A 22,811-nucleotide genomic window follows, 5' to 3' on the forward strand; every position below is an offset into this window, starting at 1 on the left:
AAAAGTAAGATTTACACCCCTTTTGGTTTGGAGGCAATTAAAAGTTATAAAGACGGATTAAAGTAGAAGCATCATAGGTATATTAATGAGTTATTTGGGACTTTCTCACAGATTTCACCAAAAGAATTGTGAGAGGAAAAAGAAACTTACATCTAACAGGAAGAGAAAAGTTTTAGGAAGACCAAATTGTGAGTAAACCTATACAAGCCCTTAGAAACATTTTTACATTCAGTAGAACATTAATTACCTTTAAAATAAGGACTACTTGATAGCATTATATCAGTCAGAGTCCAACCTGGAAGGTGGAAAACACACTAGAGAATGGTACAAAAGAAAACATTGAGATAACAGATATTAAGTAATAGAAATTAGGTACCCATTCTAGGGAAATGAGAAGAGGTTAGTATTATCAGCACATAGTAACTTAGGGAATGGCAGAACTGAGACCCAGGCCTCTAATGAAGCAAAGGTGTTACTTCACTAGTGTTGGTACCTCAAGGGCTTGTGGGAGGGTCCCCATTGCGCTAGGCCCTAGACTTTTTTGAGGAATGGATACTGTTTGGCTGCTGCTGGTTCCTCTGAGGGAATGGAATGGGTCTGGATCTGAAAGGACAGGTGAAAAAAACTCTTAGAAATTAGAACTAATATTAAAGAGTTATTTCCTTCAAAGAGTTGTTGGTGGGGCAACTCTGACAGGATCAGCAAGTAAAACAGGGAAGCCCTTTTCACTTTCTCCTACTATTCATTCTTCCTCTAACAACCTCTATTAGCAGAACCTAATAGGGAGCTAGCTAGCTGGCAGAAGGGAAACATCATTTGAAAGTCCCGGCCACAGTAGGTGTATGGCTAAGGCAATAGCTTAGTAATCAGCATAATAAATTGCCATTTTTATCCCTTTACATTAGAGTCTTTCCATCTTTCTTTTCTGAATATGTAACTGTTGCTTATATCCATTGGTTCCCACCTTGGTTCAAGAGATAACAGGTGGATGTTTGACATTGCTGAGTAGGTCTTTCTCAATCTGTGTGCCCTGTGTCTAGTGTAATATAATGTTATTTGCACTTTTGTCCACAGTGACTCCATGGTAAAGTACATGACTCAGCATCCCCTTTCTTACAAATGTTAGGGGTGTGCAGTTCTGAGTCCCAGGCTTATTTTCCTCTACAAGTTTTTATTGCAAAAACCTCTACTCCTTCTTGCCCTTTTACCTTCCCTCCCTTTTCTGTATCCACCCAGAGTTTCATCTTTTTAGACTGTCCATAACAGGATTGATTTGTAGTTTGTGCATACTGGAACCCAAAATGATGTTGAAATGTATATGTTAGTAAATAAAAGACTTGTAGAATTTTGTGTAAAGGGAACTTAAGGTTGAGAAATATTTTCATGTATTAGCGTTTTTGGCCTTTTTTCTGTACTGCCCCACAAGGAGAAAAAATTAAGTTAAATGTAAATTAATTTAATATTATTTATAATTAAATGAAAGAGAAAGTAAGAAAATTAAATACTAAGATATAAGATTTTGTTGGGTTGGTTTAGCTTTGGAGGACAAAAACCATGGTAATATCTAAGGTTTCCTTTATCCCTCCTCCTTTAACCAATTTTCAACTGCTTGGGGATGTTATTGCCCCTATTCAGAATACATGCTGTATACTATATAAACACACTGTGTGTTAAGAGACTTGTGTCCTAGTCCAAGCTCCAGTGCTGAATACAAACTCAGTTACTAAATATGGACCTCCTTGTCCTGCCCTCTTCCCTCTGCCCCCAAGATTAGACGAGTGGTTTTCAAGCTTTTAAAAATTGCTTCTTTCCGCCGATTTTCTTCCTTTGCTTTCTACCGTTCCTTCCCTTTCTCTCTTCCCTACTCCTTTTCTCTTCCCTCCCTTCATCTCTCTTTTCCTCCATCTTTGTCTTCCTCCCTTGATTTTTGTTATTGACTATATAAACCTTTGTGCAAAGGAAATCTTATTGAGGATCACATGATATAAAATGAATAAAAGAAGAGCCTTGGTGGTGGTAGGTAGATACACTGATACTCTTTTACTGTCCTGCCAAACAGGCAAAGGTAGTTTGAAAACCACTAGTCTAGAAGAATCATATGTTACGATTCAGTAAGTTGAAAGGCTATTTGGAAAGCATTGGAGAGAAATGTGAATTAATTTTCTAGACCAGGGATCAGAAACTTTGTTCTGTAAAAGTCCAGATAGTAAATATTTTCAGCTTTGTGGGCATACAATCTCTGTTACCACTACTTAACTCTGTTCCTGTGGTTTGAAAGAAACCATAGACAATAGATGAATAGGCATGTCTGTGTTGCTGGAAACATTATTTACAAAAATAGGCAGTGGGACCACTTTGGCCTGAGGGCTATAGTTTGTCACCTCCTGGTCTAGACTGCCAAACCCTGTTGTATAGAATAGTGCTCTCCAAAATGAGGTGCAAACCATTGCTGATTGCACCCACCTAAGTTAAATAGATTTTTTTATCATACTTCCCCAACATATGTGTTGGGGAACTAGTTTATTCAAAAATTAAATTCATCGATTTGAATCAAGGAAGTAATTAGAATTATAAAAATTACAGTAAGATGCTTCTTATTTTAGTGGATAAGAAAATTTACTTTGTCATATCTGAACATAATAAAATCTCCATAGGGAACTTTAATGATGGTATTCTTTAACTATTAGGAAAGGGATGGATGCTGACAGACCTGGTAAAAGAATGACAGAATACTCAGGGAATAAGTAATCTGGTGCTTCAGTGAAGCAATTTCAGGCCCTCTTTTTCTTGCATTTTAACAAAGAATAGGCAGGTCCTTAGATATTTGTTAATTGAGCAGTTATCCCAAGAGGGTAGTATTACCTTTATAATTTTGTTTATATAAGGTAGTAAACCATTGAGAACTACATAGAGTTTGAATCTGGATAACTTTAGATTCTTATATTCTGAAACTAATGGGGGGAAACCCTCTTTTTAGATCCCATATCATAACTTTTCCATTATAATACCTGAATTCGACTATCATTATTGATAAAATTCCTTAAAAAAAATTGAGGCTATTGTGATTTATCAAACTATCATTAGATGAAAGCAGTTTAAGACTGAAAATACATCTACCAGGCTTTAAACTTATTTTTGTGCTGATAACGATTTTATAAATTCCAGGTTTCTAAATGAAGTAGATAGTGTTCTAGGGCTGTTGTTTATATATGTGTGTGTGTATATATATATGTGTGTGTGTATATATATGTGTGTATATATGTCTATGATCATAGACACACGTGTGTATATATGTATATAAACACACATACGTGTATATATGTATATAAACACATACGTGTAATGTGTATATAAACACACATACGTGTATATGTGTGTATAAACACACATACGTGTATATGTGTGTATAAACACACATACGTGTATATGTGTGTATAAACACACATACGTGTATATGTGTGTATAAACACACATACGTGTATATGTGTGTATAAACACACATACGTGTATATGTGTGTATAAACACGTGTATATGTGTGTATAAACACACATACGTGTATATGTGTATATAAACATACGTGTATATGTGTATATAAACATACATACGTGTATATATGTATATAAACATATGTGTATGTGTAAACATACATATATGTGTATATATGTATACACACATACACGTATATGTGTATGTATGTATATAAACATACATGTATATGTGTATGTATGTATATAAACATACACACACGTATATGTGTATGTATGTATATAAACATACACAGGTATATGTGTATGTATGTATATATATACACATATACACACGTATATGTGTATGTATGTGTATATATATACACATACACACGTATATGTGTATGTATGTATGTATATACACATATACACACGTATATGTGTATGTATATACATAATTATATTCACAAACACACATTTTTTAGAGTAACCTTTCCTTGCCTTTTAATTGTGTGTGTGTGTGTTTTTTGTTTTTTTTTTTTAGAGCTGTCAAATTTTAAGGAGGTAAGTTTCTGGTTGTGATTGAAAGCACTGTGTGGGAGTTAATATGCCTAGTCAAAATATTTTTGAAACTCTTTATTTGATACAATTTCACATTAACAAAGAAGTTGCAAGAAGAGCATAAAGAACTTGTATATGCCCTTTATCCAGACTCATCAATTGTTTACATTTTGCCCCATTTGCTTTATCAAATTCTCTTTGTTTCTCTTGACTACACACATGTATATTTGTCTGAACCAGTGAAGAGTAAGTTGCAGGCACCAGTCTCTTTAGCCCTAATATTTCTGTGTAAGAATTTTTTACATAGCTAAAGTACAATAATCAAAATTAAGAAATTTAACATTTGTACAATATGATTTTCTAAGCCGGAGTTCATAGTCCAGCAGTCCATGGTCCCAGTTAATGTCATATTCCTATTGATGCATCAATCACAGCTCCCCTTCACCTAGGATGCGATCTAGGATCATATACTGCAGTTAGTTGTCATGTCTTTTTAAGTTTCCTTTAATATAGAGCAGTATCTCAGTTTTTATTTGTCTTTCATTACCTTGATATTTTTTAAGGTATAGCCTGGTTGTTTTATACTGTGTGCCTCAATTTGGGTTTGTCTAATGTTTCTTCATGATTGGAATCAGGTTGTGTATTTCTTTCTTTCTTTTTTGCCAGGAATACCAAAAAAGTGGTATCATGTCCTGTTTAGTACATCATATCAGAAATCACAGGATGTTGGTTTGCCCCATTAATGGCAATGTTAACTTTGATCATTTCATGAAGGTCCAATTAAAATCTGATTTGGCAGTCTAAGCAAAGATAATTTTTATAGTGGTAATATTTCTAAAGCCCACGTTTCTTCCTCAATAAATTACGTGCTTTATTTTCTCCATATATGTTCCTTCTTCCTCATTTGGGAAACAAAACAAAACAACAGGGTCTTGTTTAATATGGTGAAGCAACAGAGTGAAGTTAAGTGAATAAATGAAATAAAACATATCATTCTGCTACAGCAATTTTAGGAAGTTTATTATTCATAGTCTGTATACATACTGTCTTATTAGAAGATGCTATATTTTAAAACTTACCTAAAGAGTTGTTATGATACAGAATTATAATATTTTTGTTTTCTTAAGAGTTTTCATATTTTATTCCTTTTCTCTTGCAGTACTGCACCCTATTCATATGATTACTCTCATTGTTTTTATTACCGCTCTTCCATATCAAATCTGGAATACTTCATTATTTGTATACTCCTCTTAGATAAATTGTAAATTATGAAACATAAATACAAAAAGCATGACATGATATTAGATAAATACATGGATTCAAGGTGAGTTGTATTTTAAGATGAGAAGGACTGTCACACGTCCTTTCTCCTGCCTTCAAAGAAAGTTTTCCTGAAGGATTAGAATGTATACTTTTAAAGTCCTTGACACAAGAAAATTCCAGTCTCCTTTAGAAGCCTATTCTCGTGTTTAGCACACTATAGAAATGCTTTCCTGTAGTTAGCCTAAATCTGTTGTCCTATTTCTTGGCTGTAGTAGAGATGAAGAATAACTAGTCGTTAGCTTTTTTTTTTTTTTTTTTTTTTTTTGAGACAGTCTTCACTCTGTCACCCAGTCTGGAATGCAGTCGTGCAATCTCAGCTCACTACAGCCCCAACTTCAAGCCATCCTTCCGCCTCAGCCTCCTAGGTAGCTGGGATTACAGGTGCGTGCCACCACACCCGTCTAATTTTTGTATTTTTAATAGAGATGGGGTTTCACCATGTTGCCAAGGCTGGTCTCAAACTCCTGCACTCAAGCGATCATCCCACCTCTGCCTCCCATATCGCTGGGACTACAGGTGTGAGCTACCATGCCCGACCAAGTTATTTTATGTAGTTATTTCTACATAAAATGGCTTCAAAATTACTAAGGCCCACATCCTGAATAAATGACTTTTATTTGAAGTTAGCATTTTCTAATTCTCTGGTCACGTGTGTAACTCGCTTGTGGCCATGATGCTGCTCTTTAGAAATCCAGGATTGGACAAGGTCTAATATGGTCCTTTTATTTTTGGGTCTCAACTTTTATGTTTTTAAAATTATAGTATGCTGCATTGCCTTTGATCAAAGCAACAAGCAGTAATATATTATTTCTTTTGAGTCAGAGTATTATTGAGACATGCTGACTATATTGAAGTTTTTTAGAAAATTGGGCTGGAGGGAAAGTGAAAATCTGTAGTTTTACATGTCTATTTAATTTTCACTTTGTTATTTCCCAAATCATTCAAGAGTCTATTACTTTACCGTACTTTTAATACAGAATTACTACTAACTCTTCAAGCACAATATAAAATTCTGAATGAAAGAACAAAGAAAAGTGAAAAATAGTAAAACAGCATGAAAAATAGAGACTTATTAAAATAAGACAGTAGGAGTGAGATTATTCTTTTACCCATAGGCTAAAATGTCACTTGTTGTTACTTTTTTTCTGTTTTAATGTTTTGAATTTCAGCACTGATGATTTATCTCTATATTAATAGAAAGCTAATTGAAAACAGCTTGCTATATGTTTTTGTTTAGTACTTTGGCTTTATGTAATTTTACCAGCATATGTTTTGCTAAATTCTTAAAATAGTAGTCTAAAATCTACAGTGCATTTTTGTGATTTATATTTACTTTAAAAAGATATATATTTAAAACCATAAATGGCTTAGAGAAATAAAATTATAACTGATCAAATCTTAACATTTAGTTTAAGTAAACTTAATACATTTTATCGTATCTAACAAAAAGTAGTCCCATATTTTTGACAATTCTTTTTTCTTATCAGTTCCTTTTCACAAAAGTAAATATATGGGAAATTATAAGAAAAGCATGTTACTTGACAGGTGGGGATAGTCACCACCATACTCACAAGAACATCTGTGAACACGTTGCTTGAAATTAGATGTTTACATTGAAATTGTTGACTATACGCTTTCTATAAACAAGTATATAGAACCTTGGGTTTCAGTGTCCAAGGACAGTGCTCTAGAGATACGTAGAAGTGAACTATGGCTTGTATTATAACACCTGCTCAATATCTTAAGTTAGTATTGAACTTTAAGAATGAAGTCATGTTTTAGCCTATGTCTGGGGAGCACGGCATAATTTTAGATAATCTTGCCCTCCTCAGAGAGAATGGTAGTCACTGAATCTAACCAGATAATGCTTGGCAAAATGATCTACTCATAACCAAGTAATCACAGCACTTCAGGTGAGAAGCTGGGCTCAGTAACTCATGCCTCTTTACAAAAATCAGATTTATACTTATATGACATGTTTTTACTACCCATGAAGATATTTTAAATGTTTTGGTTGTCCTTGGAGTGGTGTTGCATGAAGCTTTGAGCTTCGTCCTCAGTGTTAGAAAAAGAATGTTTCTAATTGACTAAAGGAAACAATGTTGATTGAGTTACTGAATGAATAATTAAAAAACAGAAATGGAATCCAGTAAATTGTGACCCTCTCATTCTTTTCCTTTCAGCAATGTGATTGTGACCTTAAAAAAAGACACAAACTGACTGTTGCAAGTGAGAAGGGAAAGACATAAATTCCTTTCCAACATTTTCCTATTACTTCTTTGACACTATCATCTTCAGAGTAGACTCAGATATTCCCACCACCAGTGGTTTTTTATTTGTTTATTTGTTTTTATATCAGTGGGCCAAAGCCGTCTATATTTTCCTGAAATTATTATAGCATAGTTAAACTTAGTAGGAAGCTATCAGTTTGGTGTCTTTGTGGTTACTCTTAGATATTTTCTAGTGATTGCAATTGTCTTGTTAACAGCAGGTCTGAAGTGATGATCAAAACTGGAGAAACTGATTGTTATGAGAGTTAAGAAAAACATTAGGAATCTGAGTTAATGAAATAACTCATGATTATCTAAGTTTAATACAAGCACTTGTGTAGTATCAAAGTGAAAAGAAGTTTCCTGTTTTGTATTTAGAGTGTTTTAATTCGATCTTAAAGCATTTAAGCTTCTGCAAAGCATTAATTTTGGCATTCTTTTCATGATAAATGCTATGTGTTTTAGAGAAATCAATATTCAAATTTGCTTCAAAGAATTCATGAAGAGAAACATAATGAAATCTTGATATATTATATACAAAAGACAACCCCTGATCATTTCTTTTTATGCAAATGAGTTTGATTTAGACATAATTCCCCAACATCACCATGAATTTCCATCTGTGTAACCCTGATGTTCTTAAGCAGTCTGCAGTTACCTCATGCTCTGGGCTATATTCATTCTCCATGTATGGAAACTGTGACTATCTTAACACTTTAGATGATGATATGAATAACAATTGTTTGTTGATCTTATTCTCTATCTCCCTGGATAACCTGCTGTCTGCAAAGGCTGAATAAGTGGCAGATAGCTTTTGTCATCCCTTATCCAAGCTGTACACTTGTAAGGAAGAGCAGGGATAATCGCCTCAATCTAATTAGGGGTTAAAAGAGGCCATGACTGTGATGTGACAGTGAGACACCTTACTGTAGCAATCCTGTTTGCATTAGAAAAATAAGGTTGTCATATTGATTATTCAAATTGGTTTGTATCAGCCAAGTCTCAATGGCTTGTATTGCAGCTGAAGCAGTTGAAGATCCCAGCTATTCACAAGAAGACCTGTGCTATAGCATATATTATATTGTGGCTTGTTTGATAATTTGGGGTTTTAGTAATGAAGACAGAGTTTAATCGGGAGATTTAAAGGTTAAACTGATAATCAGAAACTGAAGTTTAGCTTCCACCTTGTGATAGCAATGATTATGTAAATTTTGTAGTGATATTTTAGGTCTCTAACTGAAGATATATAAAAAACATTATTTAGAACTTCTTTAGTCATTTGATGATTCATGTTTTGATGGTTAGATGTTACAAAAAAGGTAATTGATATTAGTGATGGTTTAATGATATCATTGAAATGAATGAGACTTTATTGGAACTTATATAGGAAATTATTGGTCTTAGTATAGTTTTTGTTGTTCTTCCTCATATTTTTTTTAAAAAGGATATATAACTTATAGGCAGAGGCTGACATTTGTCTCTTCTGTCTTTCTGTTGCCCTCCCCAATCCTCTTCTCCCTGTTCCTCTTTTCTTCACTTAAATATTTTGGTCTTTGTATATATTCTTCGAACTGAAATAATCATGGTGACAAATAGAAACAAACGAAGATTTTTTATTGTACAAATCTTTAATCACTCTTTCTTAAATGTCCTAGTTAGTCGTGAGTCCATTTAACTGTAAGTTCCTATGCATGGATGGCCTATATTTTGATATGTATATTCAGTCTCTGTAGACATTGAATACTTTTTAATGAAACCTCTGTTATAGAACCAATATAGCCAATCACAGTTTCCATACATGCAAGGTGAATATAGCCCAGAGCATGAGGTAACTGCCGACTGCTTAAGAACAGCAGGGTTACACAGATGGAAATTCATGGTGATGTTGGGGGAATTATGTTTAAATCAAACATAATATAATAGCCACCACCCAGTAGTAGTGAGCGATTTTTCTTTTGAGTTTTGTTTTTTCCATTCTGAGTGTCACTATGATGCATAGAGTTGTTTTTATTTAGTTTTTAAACTAATGAACTCATTAGTTTAAAAATGATTTTTTACATTCTGTCCCAGTCTCAGGTTGAACATTGTTTGTCCTAGAGTCTGGAATCAGCCACTTATGCAAATAACCCTGATTACTTTTGGTCAGAAATGATATTTAGAGATCAGAATATGATGCCAGTAGTACAAGGGATGCCGTTGCTTTAGTTCAGTGGACATTAGTAGAAAAATATTATTTCACTGAATCTAAGATGTGGTCAATTATAGTTATATGTGTTACTAGGAAAGAAAAAAACAGTGCCAATTAATTTTAAGACCCCAGCTAATGCAAGATGCATCTTTATTTCAGATATGTTAGGATACAAATAGAATACAAAATGTGCATATGCTATGGCATATGTCATACAAAATGATGAGTTCATATATATTTTAAACTGAAACTTAACACTACAGAATTTTTACTTAAGATTAAATGTTTACATATAATTTTTCTCCTTCAGTGAATGTCTGTATTTCTTCTAATAACAAACATTAACATAGTTATATATTTGCTTTGTTGCATGGTATGTATAAAATGGTTTTTAAAATAATGTTTTTCAGTTTATAAACAAGATGCAAAAAGTATAAATAGAACTTTAGCAAATAATCCAGCAATTAGAAAAATAAACCAGGCCAGGGGCGGTGGCTCATGCCTATCATCCCAGCACTTTGGGAGGCCAAGGTAGGTGGATCTTGAGGTCAGGAGTTTGAGACCAGCCTGGCCAACATGGTGAAACCCTGCATCTACTAAAAATATAAAAATTAGCCGGGTATGGTGGTGTATGTCTATAATCCCAGCTACTCAGGAGGCTGAGGCATGAGAACTCCATGAACTCAGGAGGCGGAGGTTGCAGTGAGCTGAGATTGTGCCCTTGCACTCCAGCCTGGGTGACAGAGTGACAGTCTTGTCTCAAAAAAAAAAAAGGAAGAAGAAAAATAAACCCAGAGTTATCTGTGATGTATTGGAGGAATACAAAGGTAATTCAATATTGTGAAATTTGTTAATATAATTAATTGTAGTAATAGTTCAAGAGAGTTTGTCTACCCTTCTCATTTGTTATTTTTGATTATATAATTTAGAGTTAAAATCCAGTTTAGTGCTATTATGTGATTTTTAAAATAAAGGTACGTCTTTATTGAGGTGTAATTTACTTGTGGTGAAATGCACAGATCTTACATATAGAATTCAGTCAGTTTTAACATTCATTCGTGTAACCCACACCTTATCTCTTTTAAAAGTTTGTTTGTGCTTTTCTTTGCAGTCAGTCCTGGCCCCCAGCATCCAGAAGCAACAACTGCTCTGATTTCACTTACAATAGATTAGTTCTAGAACTTCATATAAATGGAATCATAGAGTATATATGCTTTTCCATCTGGCTTTTTTTGCTCAGCATAATGTTTGAGATTTATCCATGTTGCATGCTGTTGCATGTATTGGTAGTTTATTCCTTTTATTGATGAGTAGTATTCCATTGAATGAATGAACCACAATTTATTCTCCTATTGAAGATGGGAAAAGTCAAATAAAATATGTAGAGATGTTGTATTTGGGAAAGAAAGAATTGCTATCCCTGCAGACTGGGTGGTCTTGCATATGTCCAAACAACAAAGAGGAGGTTGGGGGTTTTATAAAAAGAAGAGATGTTATGTATTGTTTCTCCAGAAAGTTCATTGGCAGTAGTAAAGTTACGGGGAGCTGCCAGTCTCTGATTGGTGAATGATGGTAGTGGATAAAACTAGTCTTAGAATTGCAGCAGGTTTCAGAAGCCATTAGATAAAACTGGTTTTAGGTTACAGGAGGCAGTTTCAACACTCAGGCTTACCAAGAATTATATTCTTGAAACAACATTATGTGTCAAGCGCTTTATCCCTCTGGCTTCTTGACTCTCTTTCAGTTATGTATGACAAGAATGACCTAAATCTTATGATCAGCTTTGACAAAGGATATTTCAATTATTTTTACTTTGAGGCTATTATGACAAATGCTACCATGGACTGTCTTATACAAGTCTTTGCGGAGAGATGTGTTTAATATCTCATGAGTAAACACCTAACAGTCAGTTTTTGGCTAATGAGAATAAAGCAGCTTTGAACACTTACATACATGTCTCTGGAAGGACATATGTTTTCATTATTTTTGAGTAAATACCTAGCAGTGGAATGGGTGGGTTTGATAGTAAAGGTATGTTTCATTGCTAAATGTTTTTCTACAGTTGTTGTAGTTTATATTCCCATAAGCAATGCATGTTCCAGCAAAAAGTTTCAGGTGTTGCACATCTTCACCAACATTTGGTGTTGTCAGTCCTTTGAATTCCAACTATTCTAATGGATTTGAAGTGGTATTTTGATGTTTAGTTTGCACTTTTCTGACAACTAATGATGTTAAATAGTTTTCAATGTGCTCATTGGCCATTTATATATTTTCCCTTGTATAATAATTGTTCAAGCCTTTTGTCCACTTAAAAAAATGGTTCACCATATCAGCTTAAGGAGATTTTGGGCTGAGTCAATGGGGTTTTCTAAATATACAGTCATGTCATCTGCAGACAGGGACAATTTGACTTCCCCTTTTCCTAATTGAATACCCTTTATTTCTTTCTCTTGCCTGATTGCCCTGGCCAGAACTTCCAACACTATGTTGAATAGGAGTCGTGAGAGAGGGCATTGCTGTCTTGTGCCAGTTTTCAAAGGCTTCCAGTTTTTGCTCATTCAGTATGATATTGGCTGTGGGTTTGTCATAAATAGCTCCTATTATTTTGAGATACGTTTCATCAGCCTAAAATCTCCTTAAGCTGATAAGTAACTTCAGCAAAGTCTCAGGATACAAAATCAATGTGCAAAAATCACAAGCATTCCTATACACCAATAACAGACAAACAGAGAGCAAAATCATGAGTGAACTCCCATTCACAATTGCTGCAAAGAGAGTAAAATACCCAGGAATCCAACTTACAAGGGATGTGAAGGACCTCTTCAAGGAGAACTACAAACCACTGCTCAACGAAATAAAAGAGGACACAAACAAATGAAAGAACATTCCATGCTCATGGATAGAAGAATCAATATCGTGAAAATGGCCACACTGCCCAAGGTAATTTATAGATTCTGTGCCATCCCCATCAAGCTACCAATGACTTTCTTCACAGAATTGGAAAAAACTACTTTAAAGTTCATATGGAACCAAAAAAGAACCCGCATCTCCAAGTCAATCCTAAGCCAAAAGAACAAAGCTGGAGGCATCATGCTACCTGACTTCAAACTATACTACAAGGCTACAGTAACCAAAACAGCATGGTACTGGTACCAAAACAGAGATATAGACCAATGGAGCAGAACAGAGGCCACAGAAATAACACCACATATTTACAACGATCTGATCTTTGACAAACCTGACAAAAACAAGAAATGGGGAAAGGATTCCCTGTTTAATAAATGGTGCTTGGAAAACTGGCTAGCCATATGTAGAAAGCTGAAACTGGTTCCCTTCCTTACACCTTATACAAAAATTAATTCAAGATGGATTGAAGCCTTAAATGTTAGACCTGAAACTATGAAAACCCTAGAAAAAAACAGAGGGAATACCATCCAGGACATAGGCATGGGCAAGGACTTCATGACTAAAACACCAAAAGCAGTGGCAACAAAAGCGGAAATAGACAAATGGGGTCTAATTAAACTAAAGAACTTCTGCACAGCAAAAGAAACTACCATCAGAGTCTACAGGCAACCTACAGAATGGGAGAAATTTTTTGCAATCTACTCGTCTGACAAAAGGCTAATATCCAGAATCTACAAAGCACATAAACAAATTTACAAGAAAAAAAAACCATCAAAAAGTGGGCAAAGGATATGAACAGACACTTCTCAAAATAAGACATTTATACAGCCAACAGACACATGAAAAAATGCTCATCATCACTGGTCATCAGAGAAATGCAAATCAAAACCGCAATGAGATACCATCTTACCCCAGTTAGAATGGCAATCATTAAAAAGTCAGGAAACAACAGGTGCTAGAGAGGATGTGGAGAAATAGAATGCTTTTACACTGTAGGTGGGAGTGTAAATTAGTTCAACCATTGTGTAAGACAGTGTGTCAATTACTCAAGGATCTAGAACTAGAAATGCCATTTGACACCGCAATTCCATTACTGGGTGTATACCCAAAGGATTATAAATCATGCTACTATAAAGACCCATGCACACGTTTATTGCAGCACTATTCACAATAGCAAAGACTTGGAACCAACCCAAATGTCCATCAGAAATAGACTGGATTAAGAAAATGTGGCACATATACACCATGGAATACTGTGCAATGAGAACACTTGGACACAGAGTGGGGAACATCACACACCGGGGCCTGTCATGGGGTGGGGGGCTGGGGGAGGGATAGCATTAGGAGAAATACCCATTGTAAATGATGAGTTAATGGGTACAGCAAACCAACATGGCACATGTATGCCTGTGTAACAAACCTGCATATTGTGCACATGTACCCTAGAACTTAAAGTATTAAAAAAAAATGGTTCACCTTTTCATTATAGGGTACTGGAATTTCTTCTATATTCTGGGTTTAATTCTTTGGTCAGATATGTGTTGTGAATGTTTTCTCCCAGTTTGTGGCTTGCCTATTTATTTTCTTAACAATAAAAGAAAGAATAATAGAAATTTTTAGATGAATAGAAGTTTTACCATTTGAATGTTTAGTGCTTGTGCTTTTTTCTAAAAAGCTTGAATTAGCTTTTCAAGTTCCAAAAAAACAACTTGTTTGTACTTTGATTGGAATTACATCGTATCTGTAGATTTGTTTGGTGGGAACTGATTCCTGTAATATATTTGTCTTTACCATCCATAGGCATACTATAGTCTTCATTTATTTATGAGTTTTAAAATATCTTTATAAAAACCAACTTTTTTCTATAAATATCTTGAATGTATTTTGTTGAATTGTTGCCTGTCTGCCTATTACAGTTATTATTTTTTATCACTCATATCTTTGTCATGTTTTGGATTTGAATGGGAATTCTGCTAATATTTTATCATTGAATATAATTTTGTTCTTGGTTTTTGGTAGTTAACCTTTCCTACTAATAAAGTTTTCTTCAATTCTTAGTTGGGGAAGGATTTTTTAGAAAATTTACATATTTCATATTTATCAAAGATTTTTTTCTATATCAATTGAAATTTTTGTAGTTTTTAAACCCAGGAATGGGGTAAATAATATTAATAGATTTTCTGTTATTAATCTGTCCTGACATTATTGAGATAAACCTGGCTTATTCATGATGTATAATCTTTTTGAATACATTGCTGGATTTGGTTTATTTACTTAATGATTTTTAACAATCTTCCTGGGTGAGATTTACGCGTAATTTTTCTTTCCTGTTCTCTCTTTCCCCAGATTTAGTATAGTAGTCTTCTCCTTATCTGTGGTTTTGCTTTCCAGGATTTCAGTTACCCATGGTCAACAGTGGTCTGAAAATATTAAGTGAAAATTTTCAGTAAATAACAAGTTATAAATTTTAAGTGGCATGCTGTTCTGAGAATTTTGATGAAAATCTTCACTGTCTCACTTTCATTCTCTGTGAATCAACATATTCATGCTGTATGTGCTACCAGCCTGTTAGTTAGTAGCAATCTTACTTATCAGATTGACAGATCACAAGAAGGGTGAATACAATATACAATACAATAAAATAAAATATTTTGAGAGTGAGAAAAATCACATTTTTATAACTTTTATTACAGCATATTATTATAATTGTTCTATTTTCTTATTAGTTATTGTCATTAATCTCTTATGCTACCTAATGTATAAACTAAACTTTATCATAAAGTATGTATATGTATGTATGTATAGGAAAAGACATAGTAATATGTAGGGTTTGATACTATCCATGGTATAGAACACCCTATTTATTACAACAAAGAAATTCTGCCATTAAAAATGCCAGCAGTGGCTGGGCACGGTGGCTCACGCCGGTAATCCCAGCACTTTGGGAAGCCAAGGTGGGTGGATCACTTGAGACCAGGAGTTCGCGACCAGCCTGGCCAATGTGGCAAAACCCCAGCTCTACTAAAAATACAAAAAAAAAGCTGGACATGGTAGCGCGCACCTGTAGTTCCAGCTACTCAGGAGGCTGAGGGATGAGAATTGCTTGAACCCAGGAGGCAGAAGCTGCAGTGAGCTGAGATTATGCTACTGCACTCCAGTAGCACTCTGGCTGGGGACAGAGCAAGACTGTCTCAAAAATATATATATATATTATAAAAATATTTTTTTTAAAAAAGTGTCCATAGTGCCTTATTGAGAAACACCAAGTGTAGACTATTTTTTTTTTCTAAAATCCTGCAGAGCTTAAAATGCTAGTGGACTAATAAAAAATCAGCCGGGTTAAGTGAAAACCCAGAGAATAAGCAAAGCAGTTATGTAAACTAATGTTAAACATGCTGTATCATTTGCAATAAAAGATTTAGTAGTTTATGATGAATGAAAAGGCTGCAGTAGTATCGACTCTTCTAGGTAAATCACTGAAGATGGCTCATAGTTTAGTTTAATCCCTCTTTTTAAAAAGTATCTTGAAAGTCTGTATCTTAAAACCATGATTCAAAAATTTCCCCTTGAATTTAAGCATATCATGCTAATTTTACCTATATAAAAACATTTCTGATGTGTAGTTTATATGTAATAAAATACACCCATTTAAAATATACAATTTAGTGAATTTTTATGGAAGTATATACTCTTAAAATTACCATCACATGATATGAATGTTTCTATCATTCACAGACATTTTCATTCTTTGTTTTTCTTAATTTCCAACCTTTTTTTTTTTTTTTTTTTTTTTTTTAGTTTAGGGGTACATATGCGGAATGTGCAGCTTCATTACATAGTTAAGTGTGTGCCATGGTGATTAGCTGCACAGATCATCTCATCACTTAGGTATTAGGCCCAGCATCCATTGGCTGTTCTTCCTGATGCTGTTTCTCCTGCCACCTCCCATCCTCTACCAGGCCCCAGTTTGTGTTGTTTCCCACCATGTGTCCATGTATTCTCATCATTCAGCTCCCACTTATAAGTGAGAACATGCGATATTTGGTTTTTTGTTCCTGTGTTAGTTTGCTGAGGACAATGACTTCCAGCTCCATCCATGTCCCTGCAAAGGACATGATCTTGTTCCTTTTTATGGCTCTGTAGTATTCCACGGTGTATATCAACCACATTTTCTTTATCCAATCTATCATTGTTGGACATTTAGTTGGATTTCATGTCTTTGCTATTGTGAATAATGCTGTAATGAACACACGTGTGCATGTATCTTTATAATAATGATTTATATTCCTTTGGGTATATACCTAGTAATGTGATTGCTGAGTCAAATGTATTTCTGGTTCTAGGTCTTTCAGGAGTTGCCACACTGTCTTCCACAATGGTTATACTAATTTACACTCCCACCAACACTGTAAAAGTGTTCCTTTTTCTACACAACCTCGCCAGCTTCTGTTTTTGTTTTTTTTTCCCCCCTTTTAATAAGCTATTCTAACTGGTATGAGATGATATCTCATTGTGGTTTTGGTTTGCATTTCTCTAATAATCTGTGATGTTGAGCTTTTTTTCATGTTTGTTGGTCACATATATATCTTCTTTTGAGAAGTGTCTGTTCATGTCCTTTGCCCACTTTTAATGGAGTTGTTTGTTTTTGTGTTGTAAATTTAAGTTCTTTGTAGATGCCGGATATTAGACCCTTGTCAGATGGGTAGATTGCAAAAATTTTCTCCCATTCTGTAGGTTGTCTGTTTACTCTGATGACAATTTCTTTTGCGTGGAGAAGCTCTTTAGTTTTATCAGATTCCCTATGTCAATTTTTGCTTTTGTTGCAATTGTTTTTGGTGTCTTTGTCATGAAATCTTTGCCCATGCCTATGTCCTGAATGGTATCACCTAGGTTTTCTTCTGAAGTTTTTATAGTTTCGGGTTTTACATTTAAGTCTTTAATCTACCTTGGGATGATTTTTGTATATGGTGTAAAGAAGGGGTCCCATTTCAGTTTTTTGCATATGGCTAGCCAGTTCTCCCAGCACCATTTATTAAATAGGGAATCCTTTCCCCATTGCTTGTTTTTGTCAGGTTTGTCAGAGATCAGATGGTGGTAGGTGTGTGGTCTTTCTGGGTTTTCTCTTCTCTTCCATTGGTCTGTGTGTCTGTTTTTGTAACAGTACCATGCTATTTTGGTTACTGTAGCCTTGTAGTATAATTTGAAGACAGGTAGCATGATGCCTCCAGCTTTGTTCTTTTTGCTTAGGATTGCCTTGGCTATTGCAGCTTTTTTTGCTTCCATATTAGTTTTAAAATAGTTTTTTCTAATTCTGTGATGAATGTCAGTGGTAGTTTGATAGCAATAGCACTGAATCTATAAATTGCTTTGGGCAGTATGGCCATTTTAACAATATTGATTCTATCCATGAGCATGGAGTGTTTTTCCATTTGTTTGTGTCATGTCTGATTTCTTTGAGCACTGGTTCTTAGTTCTCTTTCAAGAGGTACTTCACCTCCCTTGTTAGCTGTATTCCTAGGTATTTTATTCCTTTTGTGACAATTGTGAATGGGAATTCATTCATGATTTGGCTCTTGGCTTGCCTGTTATTGACGTAGAGGAATGCTAGTGATTTTTGCACATTGATTTTGTATCCTGAGACTTTGCTGAAGTTTCTTATCAGCTTAAGCTTTTGGGCTGAGACTATGGTTTTTTTTTTTTTTTTTAATATACAGGATTATGTCATCTGCAAGCAAAGATAGTTTGAGTTCCTTTCTAGCTATTTGAAGTGGGGTTTTTTTTTATATATAGGATTACACCATCTGCAAGCAAAGATAGCTTGAGTTCCTCTCTATCTATTTGAATGTCCTGTATTTCTTTCCCTTGTCGGATAATCCTGGCCAGAACTTCCAATACTATGTTGAATAGGAGTGGTGAGAGAGGGCATCGTCTTGTGCCAGTTTTCAAAGGAAATGCTTCCAGCTTTTGCCCATTCAGTTGATATTGGCAATAGGTTTGTCACATATGGCTTTTATTATTTTGAAGTATGTTTCTTCAATACTTAATTTACTGAGACTTTTCAACATGAAGGGATGTTGAATTTTATTAGAGGCCTTCTCTGCATCTATTGAGATAATCATGTGGTTTTTGTCTTTAGTTCTGCATATGTGATTAATTTCATTTACTGCTTTGCATATGTTGAACCAGCCTTGCATGCCAGGGATGAAGCCTGCTTGATCGTGGTGGATAAGCTTTTTGATGTGCTGCTAGATTCAGTTTTCCAGCATGTTGTTGAGCATTTTTGCATCAATGTTCATCAAGGATATTGGCCTGAAGTTTTCTTTTTGTTTTGTTATATCTCTGCCAGGTTTCAGTAACAGGATGATGCTGGCCTCATAGAATGAGTTAACAGAGGAGTTCCTTCTTTTCTGTTTTTCATAATAGTTTAAGTAGGAATGGTACCAGCTCTTCTTTCTACCTGTGGTAGAATTCAGCTGTGAATCCATCTGATCCTGGGCTTTTTTGGAGTGGTAGGCTTTTTATTAGTGCTGCAGTTTCAGAACTCATTATTGGTCTGTTCAGAGATTCAAACTCTTACTGGTTCCATCTTTGGACGATATACGTGTTCAAGAATGTATCCATTCTTCCAGATTTTCTCATTTGTATGCATAAAGGTCTTTATAGTATTCTCTGATGGTTGGTTGTATCTATTTTATTAATTTTTTCAAAAAACCAGCTCCTGGATTTGTAGATTTTTCAAAGGTTTTTTTTTTTTTTTCTGTCTCTGTCTCCTTCAGTTCCATTCTGATCTTGGTTATTTCTTGTGTTCTGCTAGCTTTGGGGTTTGTTTTCTCTTGGTCCTCTAGTTCTTTTAGTTATTAATTTGAGATGTTTCTGGCTTTTTGATGTGGGCATTTAGTGCTATAAATTTCCCTCTTAACATTGCTTTAGTTGTGACCCAGAGATTCTGGTATGTTGTATCTTTGGTCTCATTAGTTTCAAAGACATTCTAGATTTCTGCCTTAATTTCGTTATGTACTCAAGAGTCATTTAGGAGCAGGTTGTCCAGCTTCCATGTACTTGTATGGCTTTTAGTGAATTTCTTAATCTTGAATTCTAATTTGATTTTGCTGCGGTCTGAGAGACTGTTATGATTTCAGTTATTTTGCGTTTGCTGAGAAGTGTTTTACTTCCGAATATGTGGTTAATTTTAGAGTAAATGCTGTGTGGTGATGAGAAGAATGTATATTCTGTTGTTTCAGGGTGAAGGAGTTCTATGGATACCTATCAGGTCCACTTATTCCAAAGCTAAGTTAATGTCCTGAATATCTTAGTTAATTTTCTGTCTCTGTGATCTGTCTAATATTGTCAGTGGCTTGTTAAAGTCTCCCATTATTGTTGTGTGGGAGTCTAAATCTCTTTGAAGATCTCTGACCCCTTACTTTATGAATCTGGGTGCTCCTGCATTGGGTGCATATGTATGTAGGATAGTTAGCTCTTTTTGTTAATTGAACCCTTTACCATTATGTAATCTAGAAGGTCTTTGAAATGTAAGAGCATTGTGTAATGCTCTTCTTTGTCTTTTATGATCTTTGTTGGTTTAAAGTTTGTTTTGTCAGAAACTAGGATTCCAACTCCTGCCTTTTGCTGTTTTCCATTTGCTTGGTAAATTTTCCTCCATGCCTTTATTTTGAGCCTGTAATGAGTCTTTTAAATACAGTGTACCAATGGGTCTTGATTCTGTATCCATCTTGCCATTGTGTGTCTTTCATTGGGGCATTTATACCATTTACATTTAAGGATAGCATTGTTCGCCCACTTGCCATAAAAAATGATGAGTTCATGTCCTTTGTAGGGACATGGATGAAGCTGGAAACCATCATTCTCAGCAAACTATCGTTAAGAACAAAAAACCAAACACCGCATGCTCTCACTCATAGGTGGGAATTGAACAATGAGAACACAGGGACACAGGAAGGGGAACATCACACACCAGGGCCTGTTGTGGGGTGCGGGGAGGGGGGAGGGATGGCATTAGGAGATATACCTAATGTTAAATGACGAGTTAATGGGTGCAGCCCACCAACATGGCACATGTATACATATGTAACAAACCTGCACGTTGTGCACATGTACCTTAAAACTTAAAGTATAATAAAAAAAAAAAGGATAGCATTGTTATGTGTAGATTTAATCCTGTCATCATGATGCTAACTGGTTTTTTTGCAGACTTGTTTTTATGGTTACTTAAGTGTGTTTTTGTTGTTGCTGGTAATAGTTTGTCCTTTCCATATGTAGTGTGCTTCCTTCAAGAGCCCTTACAAGGCAGGTCTGGTGGTAATGAATTCTCTCAGCATTTGCTTGTCTGAAGAGGATTTTATATCTTCCTCATTTATGAAGTTTAGTTTGGTCGGATATGAAATTCTGGGTTGGCAATTCTTTTCTTTAAGAATGTTGAATGTTGCCCCCCTATCTTTTCTGGCTTGTAGGGTTTCTGCTGAGAGGTCCACCGATAGTCTCATGGGCTTCCCTTTGTAGATGAACTGGCCTTTCTCTCTGGCTGCCCTTAACATTTTTTCTTCATTTTGAACTTGGATAATCTGATAATTATGTCTTGGGGATGATCTTCTCATGGAGAAGTTCTGTGGGGTTCTCTGCATTTTCTGAATTTGAATGTTGGCCTGTCTTGCTAGGTTGGGGAGTGTCTCCTGGATGATATCCTGAAGTATGTTTTCCAACTTGTTCCATTCTCTCCCTCACTTTCAGGTACCCCAATCATTCATAGATTCAGTCTCTTTACATAATCTTGTATTTCTCGGAGGATTGTTCATTCCTTTTCATTCTTTTTTCTCTATTCTTGTTTGCCTGTCCTTATTCAGAAAGCCAGTCTTCTAGCTCTGAGATTTCTTTCCTCCACTTGGTCCATTCTGCCATTAATACTGTGATTGAATTGTGAGGTTATACTGTGTTTTTCAATTCTAACTGGTCAGTTATGTTCCTCTTTAAACTGGCTGTCAGCTCCTGTATTGTTTTATTCTGATTCTTAGCTTTTTTGCGTTCATTACAACATGCTCCTTTAGCTCAGCAAAGTTTGTTATTATCCATCTTTTGAATCCTACTTCTGTTATTTCAGGCATCTTAGCCTCAGCCCAGTTCTGAGCCCCTGCTGGAGAAATGCTGTGGTCATTTGGAGAAAACGGCAATCTGGCTTTTTGAGTTTTCAGGGTTTTGCACTGATTTCAGGGTTTTGCACTGATTTGCAGGGTTTTGCTCTTCTTTGTGGGCTTATCTACCTTCGATTTTTGAGGTTGCTGACCTTTGGATGGGGTTTTGTGGTTTTTCTTCATTGTTGTTGTGTTTTCTGTTTGTTTATTTTTCTTTTAACAGTCTAGCCTCTCTTCTGTAGGGCTGCTGTGGTCTGCAGGGGATCTGTTTCAGAACCTAGTTGGCTTTGGTTCTTCCTGTACCTGGAGGTATCACCAGTGAAGGCTGCAAAAAACAAAGATGGCAGCCTGCCCCTTCCTCTAGACCCTCCATCCTAGGGCGGCACTGACCTATTGCCATCCTGAATGCACCACTTCCCTTGGCTGTGAGTAGATGTTCCCTTAGCTCTATGTCACTCTCAGGTTGGCCATCGCCCCACCCTGCTTTTCTTCAGTTTTCATGGGTTGTTTCCTAATCAGTACTGTTACACAAACAGACACATAGACCAATGGAAGAGAATAGAGAACCCAGAAATAAGACCACACACCTACCACCCAATGCGACTATCTGGATATTTCAGTTGAAGGTGCTATATCCACTGGCCCCTTTCATTCCTCTTCGAGAGTGCTTAGGAGCACAGTTGCTTCTAATCAGCCATCTTGGCACCCTCCTTCACAGGCATTTTCTCTTGCTCCCTCTGTAGTCCATCTTGCCCTATACCCCAGCTTCAGGCAACCACTAATGTGCCTGCCTAGCCTAGGTTAACTTTTTAAGAAACTGCAAAATAGTTTTCTAAAGGCCTAGTACCACTGTACATAGACAGGAGTCACTGTAAATTACTTTTGTGTGTTTTTTATTTGTGTCTAGCTTTTTTCATTCAGCATTATGATTTTGTGATTCATTCACAATGT

The 22,811-nt window shown here is 35.4% G+C and overlaps 1 protein-coding gene across 6 annotated transcripts in view; it reads left to right on the forward strand.

Moving 5' to 3' along the window:
• RSRC1 (arginine and serine rich coiled-coil 1) overlaps positions 1–22,811 on the forward strand; it is a 435,642-nt gene that overhangs the window by 115,457 nt on the left and 297,374 nt on the right. Inside the window, exon 5 of one of the 6 annotated variants that reach the window (XM_047448274.1) lies at positions 112–188. The exons of the other annotated variants lie outside the window; for them this stretch is intronic. Coding sequence (XP_047304230.1) covers positions 112–188 — 77 coding nt within the window. The remainder of the gene's footprint in view (positions 1–111; positions 189–22,811) is intronic. 6 annotated transcript variants of the gene reach the window in all.

This window comes from Homo sapiens, chromosome 3 (genome assembly GCF_000001405.40).
Source record: "Homo sapiens chromosome 3, GRCh38.p14 Primary Assembly".
Classification (NCBI taxonomy): Eukaryota; Metazoa; Chordata; class Mammalia; order Primates; family Hominidae; genus Homo; species Homo sapiens.